Below are 23,868 nucleotides of genomic sequence, written 5' to 3' on the forward strand. Positions count from 1 at the left end.
TTTTTGTCAGGTTTGTCAAAGAGCAGATGGTTGTAGATGTGTAGTGTTATTTCTGAGGCCTCTGTTCTGATCCATTGGTTTATATATCTCTTTTGGTAACAGTACCATGCTGCTTTGGTTACTGTAGCCTTGTAGCACAGTTTGAAGTCAAACTAGGTAGCGTGATGCCTCCAGCTTTGTTCTTTTTGCCTAGGATTGTTTTGGCTATACGGGCTCTTTTTTGGTTCCATATGAAATTTAAAGTAGTTTTTTCTAAGTCTGTGAAGAAAGTCAATGGTAGCTTGATGGGGATAGCATTGAATCTGTAAGTTACTTTGGGCAATATGGCCACTTTCACAGTATTGATTCTTCCTATCCATGAGCATGGAATGTTTTTCCATTTGATTGTGCCCTCTCTTATTTCCTTGAGCAGTGGTTTGTAGTTCTCCTTGAAGAGGTCCTTCACCTCCATTGTAAGTTGTATTCCTAGGCATTTCATTCTCTTTGTAGCAATTGTTAATGAGAGTTCATACATGTTTTGGCTCTCTGTTGGTCTATTATTGGTGTATAAAAATGCTTGTGATTTTTGCATACTGATTTTGTATCCTGAGACACTGCTGAAGTTGCTTATCAGCTTAAGAAGATTTTGGGCTGAGATGATGGGGTTTTCTAAATATACAATCATGTCATCTGCAAACAGACAATTTGACTTCCTCTCTTCCTATCCGAATATCTTTTCTTTCTTTCTCTTGCTTGATTGCCCTGGCCAGAACTACCAATACTATGCTGAATAGGAGTGGTGAAAGAAGGCATCCTTGTGTGCCAGCTTTCAAAGAGAATGTTTCCAGCTTTCACCCATTCAGTATGATATTGGCTGTGGGTGTGTCATAAATAGCTCTTATCACTTTTAGATACATTCCATCAATACCTAGTTTATTGACAGTTTTTTTTAGCATGAAGGGGTGTTGAATTTTATGGAAGGCCTTTTCTGCATCTATTGAGATAATCATGTGTTGTTATTGGTTATGTTTATGTGATGGATTACGTTTACTGATTTGCATATGTTGAACCAGCCTTGAATCCCAGGAATGAAGCTGACTTGATCTTGGTGGATAAGCTTTGTGATGTGCTGCTGGATTCAGTTTGCCAGTATTTTATTGAGTATTTTCGTATCGATGTTCATCAGAAATAATGGCCAGAAATCATCTTTTTTTGTTGTGTCTCTGCCAGGTTTTGGTATCAGCATGATGCTAGCCTCATAAAATGAGTTAGGTAGGAGTCCCTCTTTTTCTACTGTTTGGAATAATTTCAGAAGGAATGGTACCAGCTCCTCTTAGTACCTCTGGTACAAATTCGGCCGTGAATCTGTCTGGTCCTGGGCTGTTTTGGTTGGTAGGCTATTAATAGTTCTCTATTTCCTTCAGTTCTGCTCTGATCTTAGTTATTTCTTATCTTCTGCTAGCTTTTGAATTTGTTTGTGATATTAGGGTGTCGATTTTAGATCTTTCCTGCTTTCTCCTGTGGGCATTTAGTGCTACAAATTTCCCTCTACACACTGCTTTAGCTGTGTCCCAGAGATTCTGGTACGTTGTGTCTTTGTTCTCATTGGTTTCAAAGAATTTATTTACTTCCGCCTTCATTTCGTTATTTACCCAGTAGTCATTCAGGAGCAGGTTGTTCAGTTTCCATGTAGTTGTGCGGTTTTGAGTGAGTTTCTTAATCCTGAGTTCTAATTTGCTTGCACTGTGGTCTGAGAGACTGTTTGTTATGATTTCCATTCTTTTGCATTTGCTGAGGAGTGCATTACATCCAATTCTGTGGTCAATTTTAGAATAAGAGTAATGTGGTGCTAAGAATGTATATTCTGTTGATTTGCGGTGGAGAATTCTATAGACGTCTATTAGGTCTGCTTGGTCCTGAGCTGAGTTCAAGTCCTGAATATCCTTGTTAATTTTGTCTCATTAATCTGTCTAATATTGACAGTGGGGCATTAAATCTCCTACTATTATCGTATGGAAGTCTAAGTCTCTTTGTAGGTCTCTAAGAATTTGCTTTATGAATCTAGGTGCTCCTGTATTGGGTGCATATATATTTAAAACAGTTAGCTCTTCTTGTTGTACTGATCCCTTTGCCATTATGTAATGCCCTTATCTCTTTTGATCTTTGTTGGTTTAAAGTCTGTTTTACCAGACACTAGGATTGCAACCCCTGTTTTTTCTTTTTTTTTTGGCTTTCCATTTGCTTGGTAAATATTCTTCCATCCCTTTATTTTGAGCCTATGTGTGTCTTTGCACGTGAGATGGGTCTTCTGAACACGGCACACTGATGGGTCTTGACTCTATCCAGTTTGCCAGTCTGTGTCTTTCAATTGGGGCATTTAAGGTTAATATTGTTATATGTGAATCTGATCCTGTCATTATGATACTAGCTGGTTATTTTGCCCATTAGTTGATGAAATTTCTTCACAGTGTTGATGGTCTTTACAACTTGGTATGTTTTTGCAGTGGCTGGTACCAGTTGTTCCTTTCCATGTTTAGTGCTTCCTTCAGGAGCTCTTGTAAGGCAGGCCTGGTGGTGAGAAAATCTCTCAGCATTTGCTTGTCTGTAAAGGATTTTATTTCACCTTCACTTTTGAAGCTTAGTTTGGCTGGATATGAAATTCTGGGTTGAAAATCCTTTTCCTTAAGAATGACGAATATTGGACCCCACTCTCTTCTGGCTTGTAGGGTTTCTGCTGAGAGATCCACTGTTAGTCTGATGAGCTTCCCTTCGTTACCCAGGTAACCCAGCCTTTCTCTCTGGCTGCCCTTAACATTTTTTCCTTCATTTCAACCTTGGTGAATCTGACAATTATGTGTCTTGTGGTTGCTCTTCTCAAGGAGCATCTTTGTGGTGTTCTCCATATTTCCTGAATTTGAATGTTGGCCTGTCTTGCTAGGTTGGGGAAGTTTTCCTGGATAATATCCTTAAGTGTGTTTTCCAACTTGGTTCTATTCTCCCTGTCACTTTCAGGTACACCAATCAAAAATAGTTTGGTCTTTTCACATAGTCCCATATTTCTTGGAGGCTTTGTTCATTCCCTTTCATTCTTCTTTCTCTAACCTTGTCTTCACACTTTATTTCATTAAGTTGATCTTCAATCTCTGATATCCTTTCTTCTGCTTGGTCAATTTGGCTATTGATATTTGTGTATGATTCACAAAGTTCTCATGCTGTGTTTTTCAGCTCCATCAGGTCATTTATGTTCTTCTCTAAACTGGTTATTGTAGTTAGCAATTCCTCTAACCTTTTTTCGAAGTTCTTAGCTTCCCTGCATTGGGGTAGAACATGCTCTTTAAGCTTGGAGAAGTTTGTTATTACCCACCTTCTGAAGCCTACTTCTGTGAATTCATCAAACTCATTCTCCGTCCACTTTTGTTCCCTTGCTGGCGAGGAGTGATCCTTTGGAGGAGAAGAGGCATTCTGGTTTTGGGAATTTTCAGCCTTTTTGTGCTGTTTTTTCCTCATCTTCGTGGATTTATCTACCTTTGGTCTTTGATGTTGGTGACCTTCAGATGGGATTTTTGTGTGAGCGTCCTTTTTGTTGATACTGATGCTACTCCTTTCTGTATGTTAGTTTTCCTTCTAACAGTCAGGCCCCTCTGCTGCAGGTCTGTTGGAGTTTGCTAGAGGTCCACTCAAGACTCTGTTTGCCTGGGTATCACCAGCAGAAGCTGCAGAACAGCAAAGGTTGCTGCCTGTTCCTTCCTCTGGGAGGAGGCACTGCCAGATGCCAGCTGGGGCTCTCCTGTCTGAGGTGTCTGTTGACCCCTGCTGGGAGGTGTCTCCCAGTCAGGGGGCATGGGGGTCAGGGACCCACTTGAGGAGACAGTCTGTCCCTTAGCAGAGCTTGAGTGCTGTGCTGGGAGATATGCTGCTCTCTTCGGAGCCAACAGGCAGGAACATTTAAGTCTGCTAAAGCTGTGAGCACAGCTGCCCCTTCCCCCAGGTGCTCTGTCCCAGGAAGATGGGAATTTTATCTATAAGCCCCTGACTGGGGCTCCTTTCTTTTGGAGATGCCCTGCTCAGAGAGGAGGAATATAGAGAGGCATTCTGGCTAGAGTGGCTTTGCGTGCTGCGGTGGGTTCCGCACCCAGTTCGAACTTCCCAGCAGCTTTGTTTACACCGTGAGGGGAAAACCGCCTACTCAAGCCTCAGTAATGGCAAATGCCCCTCCCCCTACCAAGCTCGACCGTCCCAGATAGACTTCAGACTGCGTGCTGGAAGTGAGAATTTCAAGCCAGTGGATCTACTTAGCTTGCTGGGCTCCATGGGGTGGGATCTGCTGAGGTAGAACACTTGGCTCCCTAGCTTCAGCCCCCTTTCCAGAGGAGTGAATGATTGTCTCGCTGGTGTTCCAGGAGCCACTGTGGTATGAAAAAAACTCCTGCAGCTAGCTTGGTGTCTGCCCAAAGGGCTGTCTGGTTTTGTGCTTGAAACCCAGGGCCCTGGTGGTGTAGGTACCCTAGGGAATCTCCTGGTCTGTGGGTTACGAAGCCCATGGGAAAAGCATAGTATCTGGGCTGGAATGCACCATTTCTCACGGCATAGTCCCTCACAGCTTCCCTTGGCTAAGGGAGGGAGTTCCCTGACCCCTTGCACTTCCCGGATGAGGAAACGCCCCACCCTGCTTTGGCTTGCCCTCCATGGGCTGCACCCACTATCTAACCAGTCTCAATGAGATGAGCCAAGTACCTCAATTGGAAATGCAGAAATCACTGGTCTTCTGAGTTGATCTCGCTGGGAGCTGCAGATTGGAACTGTTCCTATTCAGCCATCTTGCCAGCCACCATAGTCCTGTAACTTGTAGTTATGGAGCTGGGTCACAAACTCAGGTCATGTGGCTATAGATGTCATATGCCACATTTTCAGCTGCTATTCTATACGCTTCCCCTACTGAGAAGATCTATCTGCTGAGAGGCACTGCAGCATGTTATTTCCTTGTTTGCTTAATCTTGCTTCCTACTTCTGTTTGTTGCTATCAAAAATTCCAAAATAATAGGGTTCAGGAGGGAGAATTTGGAGCTGATTGTTGGACAGGGGAAACTGTTTCTGTCCCTCAGATTAGGTGATTTATCAGGGAGAGCCCATTTATTATTTTTAATTCCATTTATTATTTTATTCCATTTACACGACCTACTTGAAAGGACAAAATTTTAGAAATGGATAATAGATTAGTGGTTAGGTTGGGGTGGGATAGAAGTGGTTGTGGCTATAAGAAGGCAACATGAGGGATCCTCCTGGGATGGAAATGTTCTCTATTTTGACTGTGTCAATATCCTGGTTGTACTGTAGTTTTCTAAGATGTTACCACTGGAGGAAACTAGGGAAAGGTCCACAGTATCTCTCCGCATTATTTCTTACAATTTCCCGTGAATTTACAATGAACTCAAAAAGTATGATCTTTTTTAGATTAAAAAAAACAAAACACCCTGGCTTGGGCATGATGATTACACCTGTAATCCCAGAACTTTGGGAGGCAGCAGCAGAAAGATCACTTGAGCCAGGGAGGTCCAGGCTGCAGTGAGCTAAACAGAGCAAGACTCAGAAAGATAAAACTCCAAGATCATGTAGCTAACAGCAGAAGTAAGACCTATATTTGGGTCTTTCATCCCTTTTTATCACACGAATGCTCCATCTCTACTTCAGGGCTAAATCCCACTGAAAATATCTATTTTAAATATTAATATACTGGTCCTATAAACAGTTATATCCTATGAAAAGTAATCATCCAACTCCCTGAATTTCATTTTTTCATGCATTCAACAAATGTGTATTCGGTTGTTCACATGTAGCAGACATTGTGCTAGGCTCCAGATATATAATAGTAAATATATTATTACATGCAGTTCTGAAGAAAGACTACAGGGGAAGTACTGGGTGTTAAGGGAGCATACACACGGGACTAATTTTTCAGATTAGAGTGTTTGGAAGGCTTCTAAATATACATACATCAAAGTTCATACTTCAACAACATTAACCAGAGAGGAAGGGATCAAAGAGTGTTTTAGGAAGAGGATATGGTATATATAAAGGCTGTGAACCGGAGGTAAAAGGAAGGAAGCAAGCAGTAAGGAATTCTCTGTCTTCATCTTACCGGACCTATCAGTAATCACTCCCTCTTCATTAAATCTTTTTTTTCCACTTAAATTCTTTTTTTTTTTTTTGTTTTGGTCAGGCACGGTGGCTCATGCCTGTAATCCCAGCACTTTGGGAGGCCGAGGCGGGTGGATAATTTGAGGTAAGGAGTTCAAGACCAGCCTGGCAAACATAGCGAAAACCCATCTCTACTAAAAATAAAAATAAAAATAATTAGCCGGGCATGGTGGCAGGTGCCTTGCCTGTAATCACAGCTACTGGAGAGTCTGAGGCAGGAGATCGGTTGAACCCAGGAGACGGAGGTTACAGTGAGCCAAGTTCATGCCACTGCACTCCAGCCTGGGTGACAGAGTAAGACTCCACCTCAAAGAGAAAAAAGGATTTCTTTTTTTTTTTTTTTTTGAGACAAAGTCTTGCTCTGTCACTCTGCCTGGAGTACAGGGGTGCAATATTAGCTCACTGCAACCTCAAACTCCTGGGCTCACACAATCCTCCTGCCTCAGCCTCTCAAACAGCTTGGACTACAGGCATCTGCCACCACACCTGGCTAATTGTTTTTTTGTTTGTTTTTTTTGAGACGGAGTCTTGCTCTGTCACTTAGGCTAGAGTGCAGTGGTGTGCTCTCGGCTCACTGCAACCTCCGGCTCCTGGGTTCAAGCAATTCTCCTGTCTCAGCCTCCCGAGGAGCTGGGCTTACAGGTGCCTGCCACTGCGCCCAGCTAATTTTTGTGTTTTTAGTAGAGACGGGGTTACACCATCTTGGTCAGGCTAATTGTTTTTTTTTTAATTTTTGTTGTGATAGGGTCTCATTACATTGCCAAGGCTGGTCTGGAACTCCTGGCCTTAAGCAATCCTTTCACCTCAGCCTCCAATTACTTTAAAAGCAAGAATATTACAATCTTTCTTTCTACAGGCAACTGTTTTCAGATTAATGATAAAATAATTCCCACTTATTGGGTGACCTCTTTCTGCAAACCACTACACTAGGAAATTTTAGAAGAAGTCTTGAAATTCTCAAAACAACTCATAAGATAAATATAATTATCCTCACGTTAAGGACAAGAAAATTTAAAAGTTCAGAAATGTTATATAACTTACACGAGGTTTAAAAGTTAGCAACTGGTGACATTAGGCCTAGAACTCAGGTTGGTCTAATTTAAAAGTCTGAATTTTTGCCATTATGCAACATTGCCTCTCCAAATCACTCACTCAAGAAATACTTAAGAAGTACCTATTATGGCCGGGCATGATGGCTCATGCCTGTAATCCCAGCACTTTGGGAGGCCGAGGCAGGCAGATCATGAGGTCAGGAGTTCAAGACCAGCCTCATCAACATGGTGAAACCTTGTCTCCACTGAAAGTACAAAAATTAGCCGGGCATGGTGGCAAGCTACTTGGGAGGCTGACAGAGGACAATCGCTTGAACCCGGGAGGCAGACATTACGGTGAGCCAAGATCGTGCCACTGCACTCCAGCCTGGGCAAAAAAGAGCAAACTTCGTCTCAAAAATAAATAAATAAATAAATACCTACTATGCTTCAGACACTACAGAAGGTATTGGGTAAACAATGATGAATTTGTGCCATTGTAGCCTCACATCCAAGCCCAGGGGAAATGACAGCTGTAAACAACACAACACAATGCGATAAGTGCTATGAAAATAGAATATATATAAGGCACTACACATAAGAGGGAACATTGGCTTTATACGGCAGCAAGTAATCAAAAAAGCCTTCACTTGTGAGAAAAAATGCTTGGTATGGTACACCTTACTTAAATACCAGATGCCACTCACGCTAAAACTTGAAGAGTGGAGTCTGCAGACAGAGAATCATGATAAGGATATTCTAGAGAGTGTGGGAAAGACAGTTTCTGGGTGCCAGATGAGTTGGTCTCCCCTGTGTGAGACACCCATGGGGAGCCATGGGCGGCCTCTGAGGAGAAAAGTCTCCTTACTGCCTTCATGTCTTTATGCTCCTAGAGCATAACAGCTCTGCAGCATGCCACAGGTTGCTCAGGGAAATAACACTCCCTTGAAGCAGGGGAGTATAATCAAACAACTTGGATTCTCCTGAAACCCACTCCCACCAATTTCAGTCCCGAAAAGTTAAAGATCTTAAGTAGTTTAGACACACGCCTTTGCTCAAGGAAATTCACAGAAACCGCCACTGCTATAACATCTTATTGAATGACTCACAAGTTCTCCTTCACTGATTAATCCTTTTCCTCTTCCCTTCCTATTCCTCCCATTTGCCCTAAGAACAAAGAGCTTGTAAACCAATAAATTGGGTGGAGGCCAACAGCTTGAGGCTACGAGCAAGCCTCCGATGCTCCAGTCCCCTGGACTCGCCTTTTAAACTCTTATTCTGTCTCTTTCTAATTCCTTTGTTTCTGCTGGACTTGGGGTACCCGCCGGGTGGTGTGGGGCTGGTTTCCCCAACAGGGAGAAAAAAGCCACAGTTGCAAAGGCATAAAGTTTTAGAAAATCTGGCCAGGCAAGGTAGCTCACGCCTGTAATCCCAGCACTTTGGGAGGCCGAGGCAGGCAGATCACCTGAGGTCAGGAGTTCAAGACCAGCCTGGCCAACATAGTGAATCCCTGTCTCTACTAAAAATACAAAAATTAGCCAGGCCGAGATCACACCACTGCACTCCAGCCTGGGTGACAGAGTGAGACTCCATCTCAAAAGAAAAAGAAAAAAAAAGTTTTAGAAAATCCTAAGCAGTTTAGTATAGCTAAAGAATAAGATCCTTGTGACATGTAGTAAAGAAGTAAAAACAGGCCAAGTCAAAGAGGTGCCATGCTAAGAGTTTGGACTTTTTTCTGTAAGGAATTGGAAGCAATTTTTAAAGTGTAATCAGATTGCGATTTTACAAAGATTACCTTGTCAAGTTTAGAAAAATGAATGTGGGGGCAGGAATAACCTTTTAGAAGGCTACCACAAATAGTCCAGGTAATACAATTCATAATCTCTTCATAGACTCCTATATCTAATTACCTACCTGACATTTTGGATATCTCCAATATCCAAACAGACATTTTTAGCTTAAAAGTCCAAAACCAGTCTTGATTTCTCACCAAATTTGTGTGCCCCTGTAGTCTCAGTAAATAGTACAACCATGCAAGTTACTCAAACTGGGTTTCATTCTTGATTTCTCCCTTTCCCTAAACCACCAAGTTGAATCCACTTATTATTCATTATTCCCAAAATATTAATGTATCTCAAGTCTATCCTTTTCCCCCCCAAGTTCCACTGCTATCACCAAATCCAAGCCATCATCACCGCTCAACAGGATTAGCACAACAGCTCCCAACTGGACTCCTCTAAATTTCCCTTAATACCACTTGGTTTCCTTAAAGTACTTATTGTAATTGGCAATTATTCTTCTCTGTTTCCTTAAATTTTGTCTCTCACTTCTGTTAGAATGTCTTCATAAATCAGGAATCATAGACTTTCTTATGGTTTTATTTCAGGACTCTAGCATCTAGCATCAGCCTGATTAACGGAAACAATATTAATAAAAAAGCAACACACACTTATTATGTGTCAGGTACTGTTTTAAGTATTTTATGTATTAAATCATTTGATCCTCACAAAAGCCTCTAAGGTAGGTATTCTCATTATCTCAGTTTTACAAATAAGGAAACTGAGACACAGATGGTCAACTAATCTGCCCAAGGTAACACAAGTAAATGACACAACAAAGAATCAAGCCTAGGCAGACTCCAGCCTATAGTCTTGATTATTCAGTACCTCTTTCAGTAGATGCTCAGTAAATATTCCCTGAGCAAATAAACACATGAGAGAATACAGAGGGTAGAACAGATTTAGGGGTGAAGATTGTGGGCCATGATTTGGGACATGCTGAATTTGAAGTACTTGGAGAAGGCTGTGAAGTACAGTGGGATAAACAGTTTTAAGTTACAGATAAGCATTTAGAAGTTATCAGGTTCTCCTGGAAGCCACCTACAAAATACAAGTATCTATATTTAAAAAGTGATTATATAATTTAAAAAATAAGATGGGCTTTTAAATTGTAACCATTTTGGTCGAATTCTTTTTTCTTTTTTTTTTGAGAAAGAGTTTCGCTCTTGTTGCCCAGGCTGGAGTGCAATGGCACAATCTCGGGTCACTGCAACCTGGGCCTCCCGGGTTCAAGCTCCTGCCTCAGCCTCCTGAGTAGCTGGAACTACAGGCATGCACCACCACAGCTGGCTACTTTTTTGTATTTTAGTAGAGACGGGGTTTCACCATTTTAGTCAGGCTGGTCTCGAACTCCCGACCTCAGGTGATCCACCCGCCTCGGCCTCCCAAAGTGCTGGGATTACAGGCTTAAGCCACCGCGACCATCCTGTAGAATTCTATAATAGAAATATGTTTTAACAAAGCATAGAATGACCCATTGATTCTCGATGACACCCAAGAAAAATTCTGTATTGTTACTATGAAATGAAATACTTGGCTTTAAGAAGTCATATTTGGTATATATATAAATGTCAAACTTGCATTTTGTTAAAATATGAAAGTGCAGAGATTTTTAACTTGACAAAAATCTAACTAATAAATTACAAGAAAAGCTGAGAATAACAAGAAAATGACTGAAAAAGAAGAGCGGGAACACACCTTACCTCTAGACACCAAAACATATTATTACAAAGTTACAGAAATTAAGATAATGGGTATGGTACAAGTCAAAGAAAAGAGAGAACAATGAAAAAGAACAGTGTCCAAAGAGAACCATGTATAAATGAGAATTGTGAATATGATAAAATTATATTTTAAATTAATGGGTATGGAGAGATGAATTATTTAATAAATGGTATTGGGTTTAGCCTAAAAAAGATTAATCTTTATTTTGTTCCTTATACCAAAAAAATTACAGATAAATTATAAAATACAAAAATGTTTTAATTAGATATATAATTTTTTTACTAATCTGGGGTGGGGAAAGCATTTCTAAGCATCACAAATAAATTAGAAGCTATAAAAAAAGATGGATAGATTTGGACACTAAAATAATTTAAACTTCTAGCCATAGGAAGAAAACATTAAAAAGTTAAAAGATATTTCAAAATGGGAGTAAAGATGTGAGAAATATGACAAAGAATTAACAGCCTATGAAGTAATTTTTAAAAAATATTAAGAGACAATGACAGCAACAGGCTACACAAAAGAGACTAAACACCAAAGGATAATAAACATAAAAAAGATGCTCTACATCAATAGAATTCAACTAGATACAAATGAAATATAATGAACCATCACCTTTTAGATCAGATTGAATAGAGTAAAACATGGGAAATGGGTGCTCTCAAACACCATTAGTAGGAAAGAAAATGGGAACATCCTTTCTGAAGAGCAACTTAGAAATCACAGAGTATTTGTGGCTAAAAAACCTACTTCTAAAAGGTTAGATTCAAGGGATAATCAGGGAAGCATACAAAGAGAGTGCACATGACAGCATTACCTATAAAACCTAGTCTATTCAGCAATCGTACTTCTGGGTATATATCCGAAAGAACTGAAAACAGGATTGGGCCGGGCACAATGGCTCACGCCTGTAATCCCAGCACTGTGGGAGGCTGAGGCGGGCGGATCACCTGAGGTCAGGAGCTCCAGACCTGCCTGGCCAACATGGCGAAACCCCGTCTCTATTAAAAATAAAAAAATTAGCCGGTCATGGTGGTGCGTGCCTGTAATCCCAGCTACTCGAGACAGTGAGATAGGAGAATCGCTTGAACCCGGGAGGAGGAGGTTGCAGTGGGCCGAGATCACACCATTGCACTCTGGCCTGGGCAACAAGAGCAAAACTCTGTCTCAAAAAAAAAAAAAAAAAAAGGAAATCCTATCATGCTCTGCACAGATGAACCTTGAAGACATTATAGAAAGTGAAATAAATTAGCCACAAAAAGTGAAATAGTGTACTACATGATTCCACTTACATGAGGTATCTAAAGTATGTAGTCAAATTCAGAAACAGAAAGTGGAATGGTGGCTGTGGTGCAAAGGATACAGGGGAGTTGCAGTTGTTGTTTGATAAGTATAGAATTTCACATCTGCAAGATGAAAAAGTTCTAGATAGCTATTGCACAAGGTACATTTAATTGTACTTGAGGACTAAGCTATGATTTTTTTTTTTTTTTTTTTTTTTTGAGACGGAGTCTCACTCTGTCGCCCAGGCTGGAGTACAATGGCACTATCTCGGCTCACCGCAACCTCCACCTCCCAGGTTCAAGCCATTCTCCTGCCTCAGCCTCCCGAGTAGCTGGGATTACAGGTGCCCGCCACCACACTCAGCTAATTTTTGTATTTTGAGTAGAGACAGGGTTTCACCATGTTGGCCAGGCTGGTCTTGAACTCCTGACCTCAAGTAATCTGCCTGCCTTGGCCTCCCAAAGTGCTGGGATTACAGGCGTGAGCCAATGAGCCCAACCTGATTTTTTTATTTTACCCAAATTCCTAACTAAGGGGTCTAGGGAGTCATGCCCTACAAACCATAAATTCTCATCAGGGGGGTTTTATTTGAAACTATATATTGTGATTTATTTTTCAATCTGACTGTGGCATAACATTATGAGACAAGGAAGAAATATTTAACCCCAAAATATATTTCCTTGCCATACCTTAAAATTGTCCTGCAAAGTCTCTTGTGGTTAAAATCCATATTCTATAGTGAATCCCCTTCCCCCTTTGTTTTCCTACCTTCCTTCCCAAATCCAGCAGATAATCAACTAAGAGCCAGATACCCTTTTAAGTCCGATAAAAAACAATTTACAACCTGCTCTCTCTGAAGTCTGCTATCTAAGAGCTTCCTCTGTACAATAAAACTTGGTCTCCACAATCCTTTATCTTTAACCTGAGCATTCCTTTCTGTCAATCCCAGGTCTTCAAACAACCTCAACCAATTGTCAACCAGAAAATGTTTAAATTTACCTATAGCCTGGAAGTCCCCACTTTGAGTTGTCCCGCCTTTCTAAACCAAACCAATGCATTTCTTAAATGTATTTGATTGATGTCTCATGCCTTCCTAAAATACATAAAACCAAGCTGTACCCCAACCACCTTGGGCACATGTTCTCAGGACCTCCCGAGGGCTGTGTCATGGGCCATGGTCACTCATATTTGGCTCAGCATAAATCTCCTCATATTTTACAGTTTGACTCTTTTTGTCGACAATCATCTGGCACCCACACATGGGGCCTCAGAGAAGACTCAGGGTCACACTATACATTTAAAAATGGTTAAGATGACCAGGCACGGTGGCTCACACCTGTAATCCCAGCACTTTGGGAGGTGAGGTGGGTGGATCACTCGAGGTCAGGAGTTCGAGACCAGCCTGGGCAACATGGTGAAACCCCATCTCTATTAAAAATACAAAAGTTAGCCAGGCATGATGGTGCATGCCTATAATCCCAGCTACTCAGGAGGCTGAGACAGGAGAATCACTTGAACCCAGTTGGCAGAGGTTGCAGTGAGCCACTGTACTCCAGCCTGGAAGACAGAGCAAGACTCTGTCGCAAAATAAAAAAAGAAAAAAAAAGATGGTTAAGATGATATATTGTGTTATGCGTTTTTAACACAATAAAAAATAAATTATTAATTGAAAACAATGCAAATATCCATCAGCAGGGAATTGGTTATGCTAGAGCTATACAATAAAGTAGCTATCACAAATGATAATACTGGTATCTATTCAGCCACAACCATAGCCCACTGTTGCAAGTTTTTTCAATTTAAAAAAAGCAAAGCATTATATCATTAAAACATGTGTCCATACCTGTAACTAAAGACAGAGATATGTGTAAACAGTGGCATCTCTTGGTAATAGAATTGCAGATGACCTTTACTTTCTTTTTTACATTTTCCCGTGTGGACTAAGTATTACGTACATGGCAAAAGATGGCTTACAAGAGGAAGTGACTGCCACCATTGGCTCCAGAATCCTGGGATGGAATTTTGTTTCCCTCATCATTATGTGTCTGGCACACGTTGAAGGATTAATAAAAATTTGAAAGGCAAGATGAATAGTGGTTAAGAGTTCAGGAATTAGACAGGCCTGGATATGAATCTCAACTCAAATTTATTTAATAGGGGCCTCAGACCTTAAAGCTCTTTTTTTTTTTTTTGTGGTTTGTTTGAGACAGAGTCTCCTGTGTTGCCCCAGGCTGGAGTGCAGTGGCTCAATCACAGCTCATTGCAGCTTTGACCTCCTGGGCCCCAGCGATTCCCTCACCTCAGCCTCCTGTGTAGCTGGACCACAGTTGTGCACCACTACGCCCAGCTAATTTTTTTATTTTTTGTAGAGACTGAAATTTCCTATGTTGCCCAGGCTGGTCTAGAACTGCTAGACTCAAGTGATTCTCTTGCCTTGACATCTTAAAGTGCTGGGATTACAGGTATGAGCCACCAGGTCAGACCTCTACAAGTCTTATTTACCTTCATTGAGCCTCACTTTCTTCAAATATAAAAATGTCAAGAAGACTTACAGTTTGTCATAAGGAAAATGTACTTATCACACATAACATCATTTCTGGCTCAGACGAAACTCAATAAAATGATGGCCATCATTACTATTTAGTGACTAGATTTACACTGGAAGAACTCCTGACACAAACAAATAAAAAAAAAAACTAAGCATCTACAGTAGACTGCATTGCTAAATTATCACTGAATATCCTAATTGCATTAAAAAGCAAGAGACAACACTTTGCCTGGTAGATCTACAAAAATGTCTTGCTGCAAGGTATGGTTACATTCCTATATCTAGCAGGATTACACTATAAAATTTACCATCTTACTTTGTATACAAACATCACTCGTTAGTATTGGACACAGATTAGTGCTTTAGTAAAAACAATGCAAAGAGGAAAACGTGCTTATTTTAATCCAAAGGTAGAATGTAAAGAAGGGACCAAATAAACATACAAAATGTGACTAAAGAAGACTTGACTTAGAGATTGAAACAGTAAGTGACATTACAATTTTGTTTAGCCTCTCTCTTCCTCACAACTTTTGGACAAGGAGCCTGTCTTTTTAGGCACTGCTCTACCCAAAGTCTGGTATAGTACCCAATACAGTGTTAAGCGCTCATACCATAAATACAACAGGATTTATAAGAGAAAATCTCAGTAAAATCATGGAGTAAACTGAATTAGAATTTATCTGAGAAAGTCTCAGTCAAAATAATAAAGCAAAGAGTTTAAGAATAAAGGGCACACGCATAGGGAGGGAAAAACCCTTTTCTGTAACTTGTATCTTCTTTATTCAATCAGTTTTCCTGGGTACCTTAAATGGAATGTCCAAAAGTATACATACAGTCGCCCTTGAACTCTGAAGGAGGCATAAATCAGGGCCTTACGTGCTAAGATTATTAGGCTGTGGGCTCCATGTGGCCGATGAATAAAGGCATCTTTTTAGTGATGCCTTTATTCATCGGTGTATTATAGTTGGCACCCTGTAGTCACACGTTTTTTGTTTTTGTTTTTGTTTTGAGACGGAGTCTCGCTCTGTCACCCGAGGCTGGAGTGCAGTGGCGCGATCTCGGGTCACTGTAACCACTTCCGAAGTTGAAGCGATTCTCCTGCCTCAGCCTCCCGTGTAGCTGGGACTACAGATCCTACAGATCTCTGCCACCACGTCCGGCTAATGTGTGTGTGTGAGTTTTTAGCAGACACAAGATTTCACCATGTTGCCCAGGCTGGTCTCGAACTCCTGACCTCAAGTAATCCTCCCGCCTCGGCCTCCCAAAGTGCTAGGATTACAGGTCTGAGCCACCGCGCCTGTCTGCCACTCGTTTAATAAATGGTCGTTACTCAAAGAGTGGTGATGGGGCCACTCTTGATTATCAATCCTTCAAACAGAAAAGCCCTTTTCTGTGACTCTTTTCCTTCCAAGCTGACTTTAGAAGTGTGTTTGTGGCCGGGCGCGGTGGCTCACGCCTGTAATCCCAGCACTTTGGGAGGCCAAGGTGGGCGGATCACGAGGTCAGGAGATCGAGACCATCCTGGCCAACATGGTGAAACCCCGTCTCTACTAAAAATACAAAAAATTAGCTGGGCTGAGTGGCGCGCGCCTGTAATCCCAGCTACTCCGGAGGCTGAGACAGGAGAATGGCGTGAATCAGTGAGCCAAGATCCCACCACTGCACTCCAGCCTGGGGACAGAGCAAGACTCCGTCTCAAAAAAAAAAAAAAAAAGTGTGTCTGTAAATGTAGTTCAGAACTTCGGAGCCCTGTCTTTACAGTTCAAACTGACCACGCGAAGACTAAAGGCAGTAGAGGTACTTTCTACAAATTTAGCCGTGCAATCTAATAGCGAGCAGGCCGAGACGCCCGCGATTGAAGGCCGGGGTGGAGAAAGTAATAAGGGCCCTGGAAATTACCCCCATCCCATGTCACCCACTCTTTCTTAAAATGCCATTAAATTCCGTTCAACTTTTTATCTCCCATGCAAGAAACTAGCGACTTGCCAGCCACGCCACTTCCAGCCAGTCACACCTGGCGTATTCGCCGCAGAATCTCCAACTCCCGCCACAGGTTTGGGACGTGTCCGCCCCTAAGCGGAAGTGACGTTCAACGGGACAACGTGAAAGTAGATGAGTTTAAATACGTACTAATAATTTAAAACCCCTATGGTATTTTGAGGAAACTCTTCCGGCTACCCTTCTTCCATCACTTCTCTCCCGTTAGGGTTGCGAAAAGGGCTCTGTACAGCCTCGCGACAACTCGTTCTCCGCCCTAATTTCAAGTCATTCAAAACTCTGTCCCTTTTCATTGGCTGAAGCGGCGGCATGGGTACCTCTCAGGAACTACAATTCCAGCCAAGCACCGCGACAAGTGAACGGAGGAGAAGTTATGAGTAGGGGAAAAGCATGTTGGGAATCGTAGTCCGCTCCAGGCCGAAAAGAGCAATCACCCCGCCCTCCGCCACTGAAGCTGGAGAAACCAGGTGTTCGTTTCAGAACCCGTTAGCGCTAAGGGGAGGAGCCAACCCCTTAAGCAGCATGCCTCACTTCGCCCCACATGGAGGATAATTTTCCTTTACCCCTAAAAAGCACTATAAATACCCACTGAGGAGATCTGGTTGTCTTTTAAATACCTCGAGTCAGTAAAAACTCACGAAACTCCGCACCTCAGGCTCCAACTCGTGGGAAAAGGTAGCTCTTTTACAAGTGGGCAAAATGGCTGTCCTCCTAGTTTTACCATTGGTTGGCTTTTGCGTCCTTCAAGGGCGGTTACTTACCACGGATTGGTTCTTTTTCTCTTGAGGTTGGAGGAAGATTTGGCACGGCTCTCCGCGGCCTGGGAGGAGGTAAAGGGGTGGAGAGAAGACAGTTTTTTTCAAGCTTGATTGGGCAAAACTCATGTCACTCCGGGGACGTACAACCTATGAATAGTCGGCTGCCGCTCAAAGAGAACGAAGAGGCGGGGCTAGTGCGTGGTGGGAAGGGGCGGGATTCTGCCAGCCGCGGCTGCCGCTGGAGCCGGTGTCCGGGCTGGTGATGGGGTTAATTCCCTTTCGTAAGACTCTTACTTGCACCCACCCAGCCCCGCCGTCGCCCCGCCGCGCCGCGCTCCAACCGCCTCCTCCTCCTCAGTAACGCGGGTAAGAGATGCCCTTCCCTCCCCCGTCCAGCTCCCCGGGAATAACGCGCCTTGCTCCCCTCCCCCGCCCGCCAACCGGTAGCGCTAACGGAGAAGGAGGCAGGCAGGGGAGAGATGTGGTGTGTGGAAAGGTGGCCTTCCCCGCCGGGTCGTCGGCGCTTCAGCCAGGGCCTTCTGACGTCCCGCTGCTGCCAGCCCGCCGTTAGGTCGGGTTCCGAGTGAGCCAGGCTCGCCTGGCCCGCGGCTGCGGCTCCGGCTGCAGCTGCAGCCACTGCCTTGTGCCCACCGCCCCCACCCGGGGGCCATGTGAAAAGCAAACCCCTCGAGGCCTAGCGGAGGAGGCAGGGGAAAGGTTTCCGAGTCCCTGCCATGGCTGCTGCTGCTGCCTCCGCGGCTGCTCTTGCAGCCCCAGGGACTCGGGAGCCAGCCACAGCAGGCCTGCCAAGAGCGTGGTACTGCTCTCTCGTGTGGCTGGCGCCGGTGCCCCGGGCTCCCCCGGCCGCCCCACGGCCGCATCCCCTGGCCTTGCACCAAGAGAATTTTCAGCTTCGACCGGTTGGTAAAATGTAGGTACATTTTCCCTGTGGTACCAGAAAAAGCACAATGGGAATATTAAAAAGAAAGTTGAATGACTGTCAGTGCCACGGTCCCCCGGGATCAGATTTACACACGTTTTGATTCCTGAGCCTTAGGCTGCCAACAAATCTTTGTGGGCTTTGAAGTTTTTTGGTGTTTTGTTTTCTTTTGTTGCTGTGACTAGGTGCAAAGGGTGACTCTGTTGAGCTTGTTTTTATAAAGAAACTTAAATTATTGGGACTATCATGCTCCGTGTGTAATTGTCCTGGGATAGTTAAGTAAAAGGTGAAGAAGAGGTGCTTTCCAAATTAGGATTAGTGAACAGCAAATGGTTTTTCTAATAAAATTTTCTAAATATATATATATATATCTTCATGGTTATAGTTTACCTAATTGTAACTGTAAGAAACCTTTTTTAGCTTAAATATCATTGATGACAAAAACTTTTAAATGAAAAGATGATTAAAGTCAAACTGAAAGTCTACCCATTTATAATATGTGAAACAAGATCTTCTAAGTAATAGGATACCAGTCTGACAGGAATAATTGGACACGTCTCAATTTCTAAAAATTTGGCATATTTGGCTATTTTTAGGGCATTCTGTTATGATTTCTTCATCACATTTTGATGGAGTACGCTCGTCTTTTCAAATACCACTCTGCTTTTATGCCTGGAAGAATATGTCTTTAAATCATGGATTCTATAGTCTGTAGTAGACATAACTGTGATCAGAGATAAAATTCTAGGCCCATTTCTGAGGTTTACTTGTTAGCAGAATAAACTTGGGTTCTGAGGAAACATCTGAGTTTTGATCATTTCTTCAGGGTTTGAGAAGACTATGGTGGCTTAATGATCTTCTGTATTCCATAACTAGTACACCTAGTTACAGAATTGACATAGATACATTCAGGTCCTGGAGGAAATTTGTGGTATCTATTAAAAAAATGAAAATTGCCAGTCATGTAGTAGTCACCTGTAGTCCCTGCTACTCAGGAGTGTGAGGTGAGAGGATCACTTGAGCCCAGGAGTTCAAGGCCAGCCTAGGCAATATAGCAGAACATGGTCTCAAAAAAATAAAGAAATAAATACACAGCCTTGGAAGGCAAGTCCCCTGAGATCCCCACAGAGTTCCTGTAACATATATTGCCAGCTGCCAGCATAGTATTTTCCAGAACTTAAGAGTTAATTGATAAATTATACAATCGATACTTTCAGATCTTGGGTGATTTATATAGAGAAAGAGCTGTTGAAAATTTAGGAGTCTTCTACATTTTCTTCCTGGCTGTTGGATCCCTCCATGAACCTCAGTTCGGTTTCCTCATCTGTAAAATGAGGATGATAATGCTTAACTTAGGGAGTTATGAAAATTAGAGATAAATATATAATAGTGGCCGGGCGCGTTGGCGCACCTGTAATCCCAGCACTTTGGGAGGCTGGGCGGGCGGATCACCTGAGGTCGGGAGTTGGAGACCAGCCTGACCAACATGGAGAAACCCCGTCTCTACTGAAAATACAAAAAATTAGTCGCTCATGGTGGCGGGCACCTGTAATCTCAGCTACTCGGGAGGCTGAGACAGGAGAATCGCTTGAACCTGGGAGGCAGCGGTGAGCCGAGATCAGGCCATTGAACTCCAGTCTGGGCAACAAGAGCGAAACTCCATCTTAAAAAGAAAGAAAACAGAAAATTAGAGGTAAAGTATGTAAATCCCCTAGCATTGTGCCTGACACAGTTTGTGCAATAAATATTAACTGTTATTTTCATGCATATTTAGAGAATGGGTTTGTTGTTCATATGCTGAGGGTGTTGTTGCAGCCTTAGAACACATTCTGTTACTGAAGAGTACCATGGGTGTATTAATTTATATAGTGACTTAAGCACAGTTTGCGACTAGTTATTTTTGATTAGCTTATGGAAGTTTTTTTGACTTTGAATTAAAATGCAAGTGTCTGTGGAATACATTTCAAATGGATTATTGGGAATAAAAATTAGTGTACTCCATGTAGTGGTTAACTATTGTAATATCTTTTAAATTTTATTTAGCTGTTAAATGTTTCAAGCTCTAGTTTATATACTTGCTATCCATATTCATTGTGCTACCAGATGACATTTGAACTGTTTAATACAGAGTTAAGATTAAGCAAATCATTTGAAATTGTTACAACCATATGTGACTACAGTTTTGTTGCTGTTCTTTTTAATTCTCCTTATTTATCAACACTTGAGTGTTTCTTTTCTGTGAAACAACTTGTGAGAGGTGCTATTCCTTTCTCTTCAGAGGCATTTCTGAAAATTTACTGAGTCTTCACATATAATAGTGTTCTTGGAATTTGTATAGTTAAACAAATTTAAGGTTAGCATGAAGACAGTTATATTATGAAGTCTTTCTGACAGGAATGTCCAGTCAGGGTTCAAGACAAGCTGCACCTTATGCAAAATAACGAGGTGAGGTATATATATGGTGGGCCTCCGAAGTCATTGAACCTGGTACAAATGGGTGCTTCTCCAAAGAGGTCTTACATGACAGTAGCAATAGAAAATTATATAAACTTGAAATAAGCTTTGTCAAATATTATGCAGAAGATGTGCATTGCCATGCCTTGCAAGTAATAGGGTTTTTTTTCTTCTTTTTTGAACTGGTACTTTAATATACCTAATTACATCCATTTGAGTTAGTATTAAGTTTTAATTTCTCAGAAATAAAGTAGTGAAAATTGGTAGCAGTTTTGTTTTTCCCATTCTTGAGAATATTACAGTGATAAACAAGGCTTGATAGGTTTGTAAAATACTATTGCTATTTGAATTAAAAAATTTCACTATTGACTTTCCATATTCTATTGTAAATAAGTTGGGGAATTAGTGTGTCAAGGGGGTGTGGTAACAAATGGTAATGTAATTTTCAAATTGCTATTGCAGCACCAAACCACAGAATCAATACTCTGTCTTTATAACCACATTTGCATATAGGGATAATAATTTATTTCTTATAACTTAAGATAACTAAAATGAAGGGCCAGGCGGGGTGGCTCACACCTGTAATCCCAGCACTTTCGGAGACCGAGGCAGGCAGATCACAAGGTCAGCAGTTCGAGACCAGCCTGGCCAGTATGGTGAAACCCTATCTCTACTAAAAATACAAAAATTAGTAGGGCGTGTTGGCGGGTGCCTGTAGTCCCAGCTACTCGGGAGGCTGAGGCAGGACAATCACTTGAACTCAGGAGGTGGAGGTTGCGGTGAGCTGAGATTGCACCACTGCACTCCAGCCTGGCGACAGAGCAAGACTTTGTCTCAAAAATAAATAAATAAATAAATAAATAAATAAATAAATAAATAAATATGAGATGGCTGTTGTGAAGAGAAGGAAGTCAGTTTTTTCTCAGTATAATTGTAAACTTTAAAAAAAATTAAATCATCTTCCACTTAATCCCCGAGACTTCCCATAATGTTTAGTAATACGGACATGTGCAAAGAATTAAATCGTATAATTAAACAAAATTTTGTCAAGTTAACTTTGCTTCTCAAATAAGGAAGTTATATAATTAAACACATTTGCTTGTACCTAATGAGACGTTAGCATCAACATGACTGTATATCATTTCCAGAATTTAATTCAATTAGTTATTGGCTGAGGGATGAAATAGAGATGAAACTAAATCCTGGCCTCAAACTAGTTTTGTACCTTATTTTCCAGCAATTTGGTTTTTTTATATCTAGATTTTATCTTTACTATTTTCCCTCATCTTACCCATTCTTAGTCTCCATACACACCTATTAACTTTAATTTCCTTTTCTGAGAATTTTGAAAGCCCTATAGTTTATGATCTTTTTTCCCTCTTTGCCTTGTGAATTTTATATTTGTGAGTTTTTTCCAAATTTCTACCTGTCAGCTCACTTCTTTAGGCAAGGTGTAAGGTTTTTGAGCCCCCTTATTTCATTTTTTATTTTTTTAAGAGACAGGGATTCACCCTGTCACCCAGACTGGAGTGCAGCGACAGGATCATAGCTCACCACAGCCTTGAACTCTGAGGCTCAAGGGAGCTTCCCATCTTATGCTCCCAAGTAACTACGACTACAAACTTGTCACTAGGACTACAGGCATATGGCTAATTTTTTAATTTAGTAGAGACAGGTTCTTACTGTGTTACCCAGGCTGGTCTCCCACCTCCTGGGCGCAAGCAATCCTCCTGCCTTAGCCTGCCAAAGTGCTGGAATTACAGGCATAAGCCACTGCACCCAGCCTATTTCATAAATAGTGGATTGCACAGCATGTTTAAATCATGTTTGCTTTACTAAAGTTTTTATCTACAACTCCCTATAACAACTTCATCTGCAAAAGAAATTAGGTAGAGAAAATAAACTACATTTGTTTTTATTCTTGACCATTCTCGAGAGGGAATAACTTGATATTGTCTGATCTAAGCGTTTAAAATAGTGAATTTGACTTGTCACAACATTAGTTTGATGAAAGACAAATATAAATTACTTTTGTGGGTTAGTTGTACAATTAACTTTGCTAACCTGTCCTATAAGGCAGAGGTCCCCAACCCTTAGGAGCTGGGCCACACAGCAGGAGGTGTGCAGTGGACCGGTGAACATCACCACCTGAGCTCTGCCTCCTGTCAGATCAGCGGTGGCATTAGATTCTCATAGGATTGCAAACCTTACTGTGAACTGCGCATGCAAGGGATCTGGGTTGCGTGCTTCTTATGAGAATCTAATGCCTGATGATCTGAGGTAGAACAGTTTCATCCCATAACCATCCTCCTCACCGCCTGCACCATCTGGGGAAAAATTATTTTCCACCAAACAGGTCCCTGGTGCCAAAAAGGTTGGGGACTGCTGCTCTTAGGACAGAAAGAAAGAAGTTCCATAACTAGAGTAAAATATCACCTTACAGTATGAGGTAGCTTAACTGTGGATTTACTTTGTTACCTTGCCCCTCAGTGGGGAGAGAAGCTCTGGAATTTAAAAAAAAAAAAAAAAAAAGTCTTACTGTTGTGAAGTCAAAATTCTTTGTACGTGTATGCAACATGTATACAAAACAATAGCTAAAGTGAGCATTAGTCTGTCTTTTTTTTTTTTTTTTTTTTTTTTTTGAGATGAAGTCTTGCTCTGTCACCCAGGCTGGAGTGCAGTGGCGCAATCTCGGCCTACTGCAACCTCCACCTCCCAGGTTCAAGTGATTCTCCTTCCTCAGCCCCCCCAAGTAGCTGGGACTATAGTCACGAGCCATCATGCCAGCTAATTTTTGTATTTTTAGTAGAGACAGGATTTTGCCATATTGGCCAGGGTGGTCTTGAACTCCCAACCTCAAGTGATCTGCCCACCTCAGCCTCCCAAAGTGCTGGGATTACAGGCGTGAGCCACCATGCCCAGCCTAGGCCTTCATTTTAGTGAGCCCTTATTTTATTTTATTTTATTTTATTTTATTTTATTTTATTTTATTTTATTTTATTTTATTTTATTTTACTTAGAGTCTCACTCTGTCGCCCAGGGTGGAGTGCAGTGGTGCAGTCTCGGCTCACTGCAACCTCCGCCTTCTGAGCTCAAGCAATTCTCCTGCCTTAGCCTC

At 41.8% G+C, this 23,868-nt stretch overlaps 2 protein-coding genes across 7 annotated transcripts in view, besides 4 other annotated features; one reads left to right on the forward strand and one right to left on the reverse strand.

The window, feature by feature from the left end:
• The window catches only part of ZRANB3 (zinc finger RANBP2-type containing 3), a 334,250-nt gene extending 316,943 nt beyond the window's left edge, over window positions 1-17,307 (reverse strand). Inside the window, exon 1 of one of the 3 annotated variants that reach the window (NM_032143.4) lies at window positions 17,216-17,307. The gene's annotated coding sequence lies outside the window, so the exon portion shown is untranslated. Of the gene's footprint in view, window positions 1-16,586; window positions 16,820-17,215 lie in introns of those variants that run through there. The other 2 variants (NM_001286569.1, NM_001286568.2) reach the window with 2 other exon arrangements.
• Window positions 16,620-16,699: an enhancer, noted in NCBI's record as "active region_16571". NCBI's record gives its function as "activates an Ori minimal core promoter by ATAC-STARR-seq in GM12878 lymphoblastoid cells {active_cell/tissue: GM12878}" and the evidence as "EXISTENCE:reporter gene assay evidence [ECO:0000049][PMID:35858748]".
• Window positions 17,050-17,319: an enhancer, noted in NCBI's record as "active region_16572". NCBI's record gives its function as "activates an Ori minimal core promoter by ATAC-STARR-seq in GM12878 lymphoblastoid cells {active_cell/tissue: GM12878}" and the evidence as "EXISTENCE:reporter gene assay evidence [ECO:0000049][PMID:35858748]".
• Window positions 17,288-17,582: an enhancer, noted in NCBI's record as "tiled region #5980; HepG2 Activating DNase unmatched - State 1:Tss, and K562 Activating DNase unmatched - State 1:Tss". NCBI's record gives its function as "activates a minimal TATA promoter and a strong SV40 promoter by Sharpr-MPRA in HepG2 and K562 cells {active_cell/tissue: HepG2 | K562}" and the evidence as "EXISTENCE:reporter gene assay evidence [ECO:0000049][PMID:27701403]".
• Window positions 17,550-17,739: a silencer, noted in NCBI's record as "silent region_11981". NCBI's record gives its function as "represses an Ori minimal core promoter by ATAC-STARR-seq in GM12878 lymphoblastoid cells {active_cell/tissue: GM12878}" and the evidence as "EXISTENCE:reporter gene assay evidence [ECO:0000049][PMID:35858748]".
• R3HDM1 (R3H domain containing 1) overlaps window positions 17,573-23,868 on the forward strand; it is a 193,786-nt gene continuing 187,490 nt past the window's right edge. For all 4 annotated transcript variants that reach the window (NM_001378107.1, NM_001354200.2, NM_015361.4 and 1 more), the window contains exon 1: window positions 17,573-17,722. The gene's annotated coding sequence lies outside the window, so the exon portion shown is untranslated. The remainder of the gene's footprint in view (window positions 17,723-23,868) is intronic.

Source organism: Homo sapiens, chromosome 2 (genome assembly GCF_000001405.40).
Source record: "Homo sapiens chromosome 2, GRCh38.p14 Primary Assembly".
Taxonomy (NCBI): domain Eukaryota; kingdom Metazoa; phylum Chordata; class Mammalia; order Primates; family Hominidae; genus Homo; species Homo sapiens.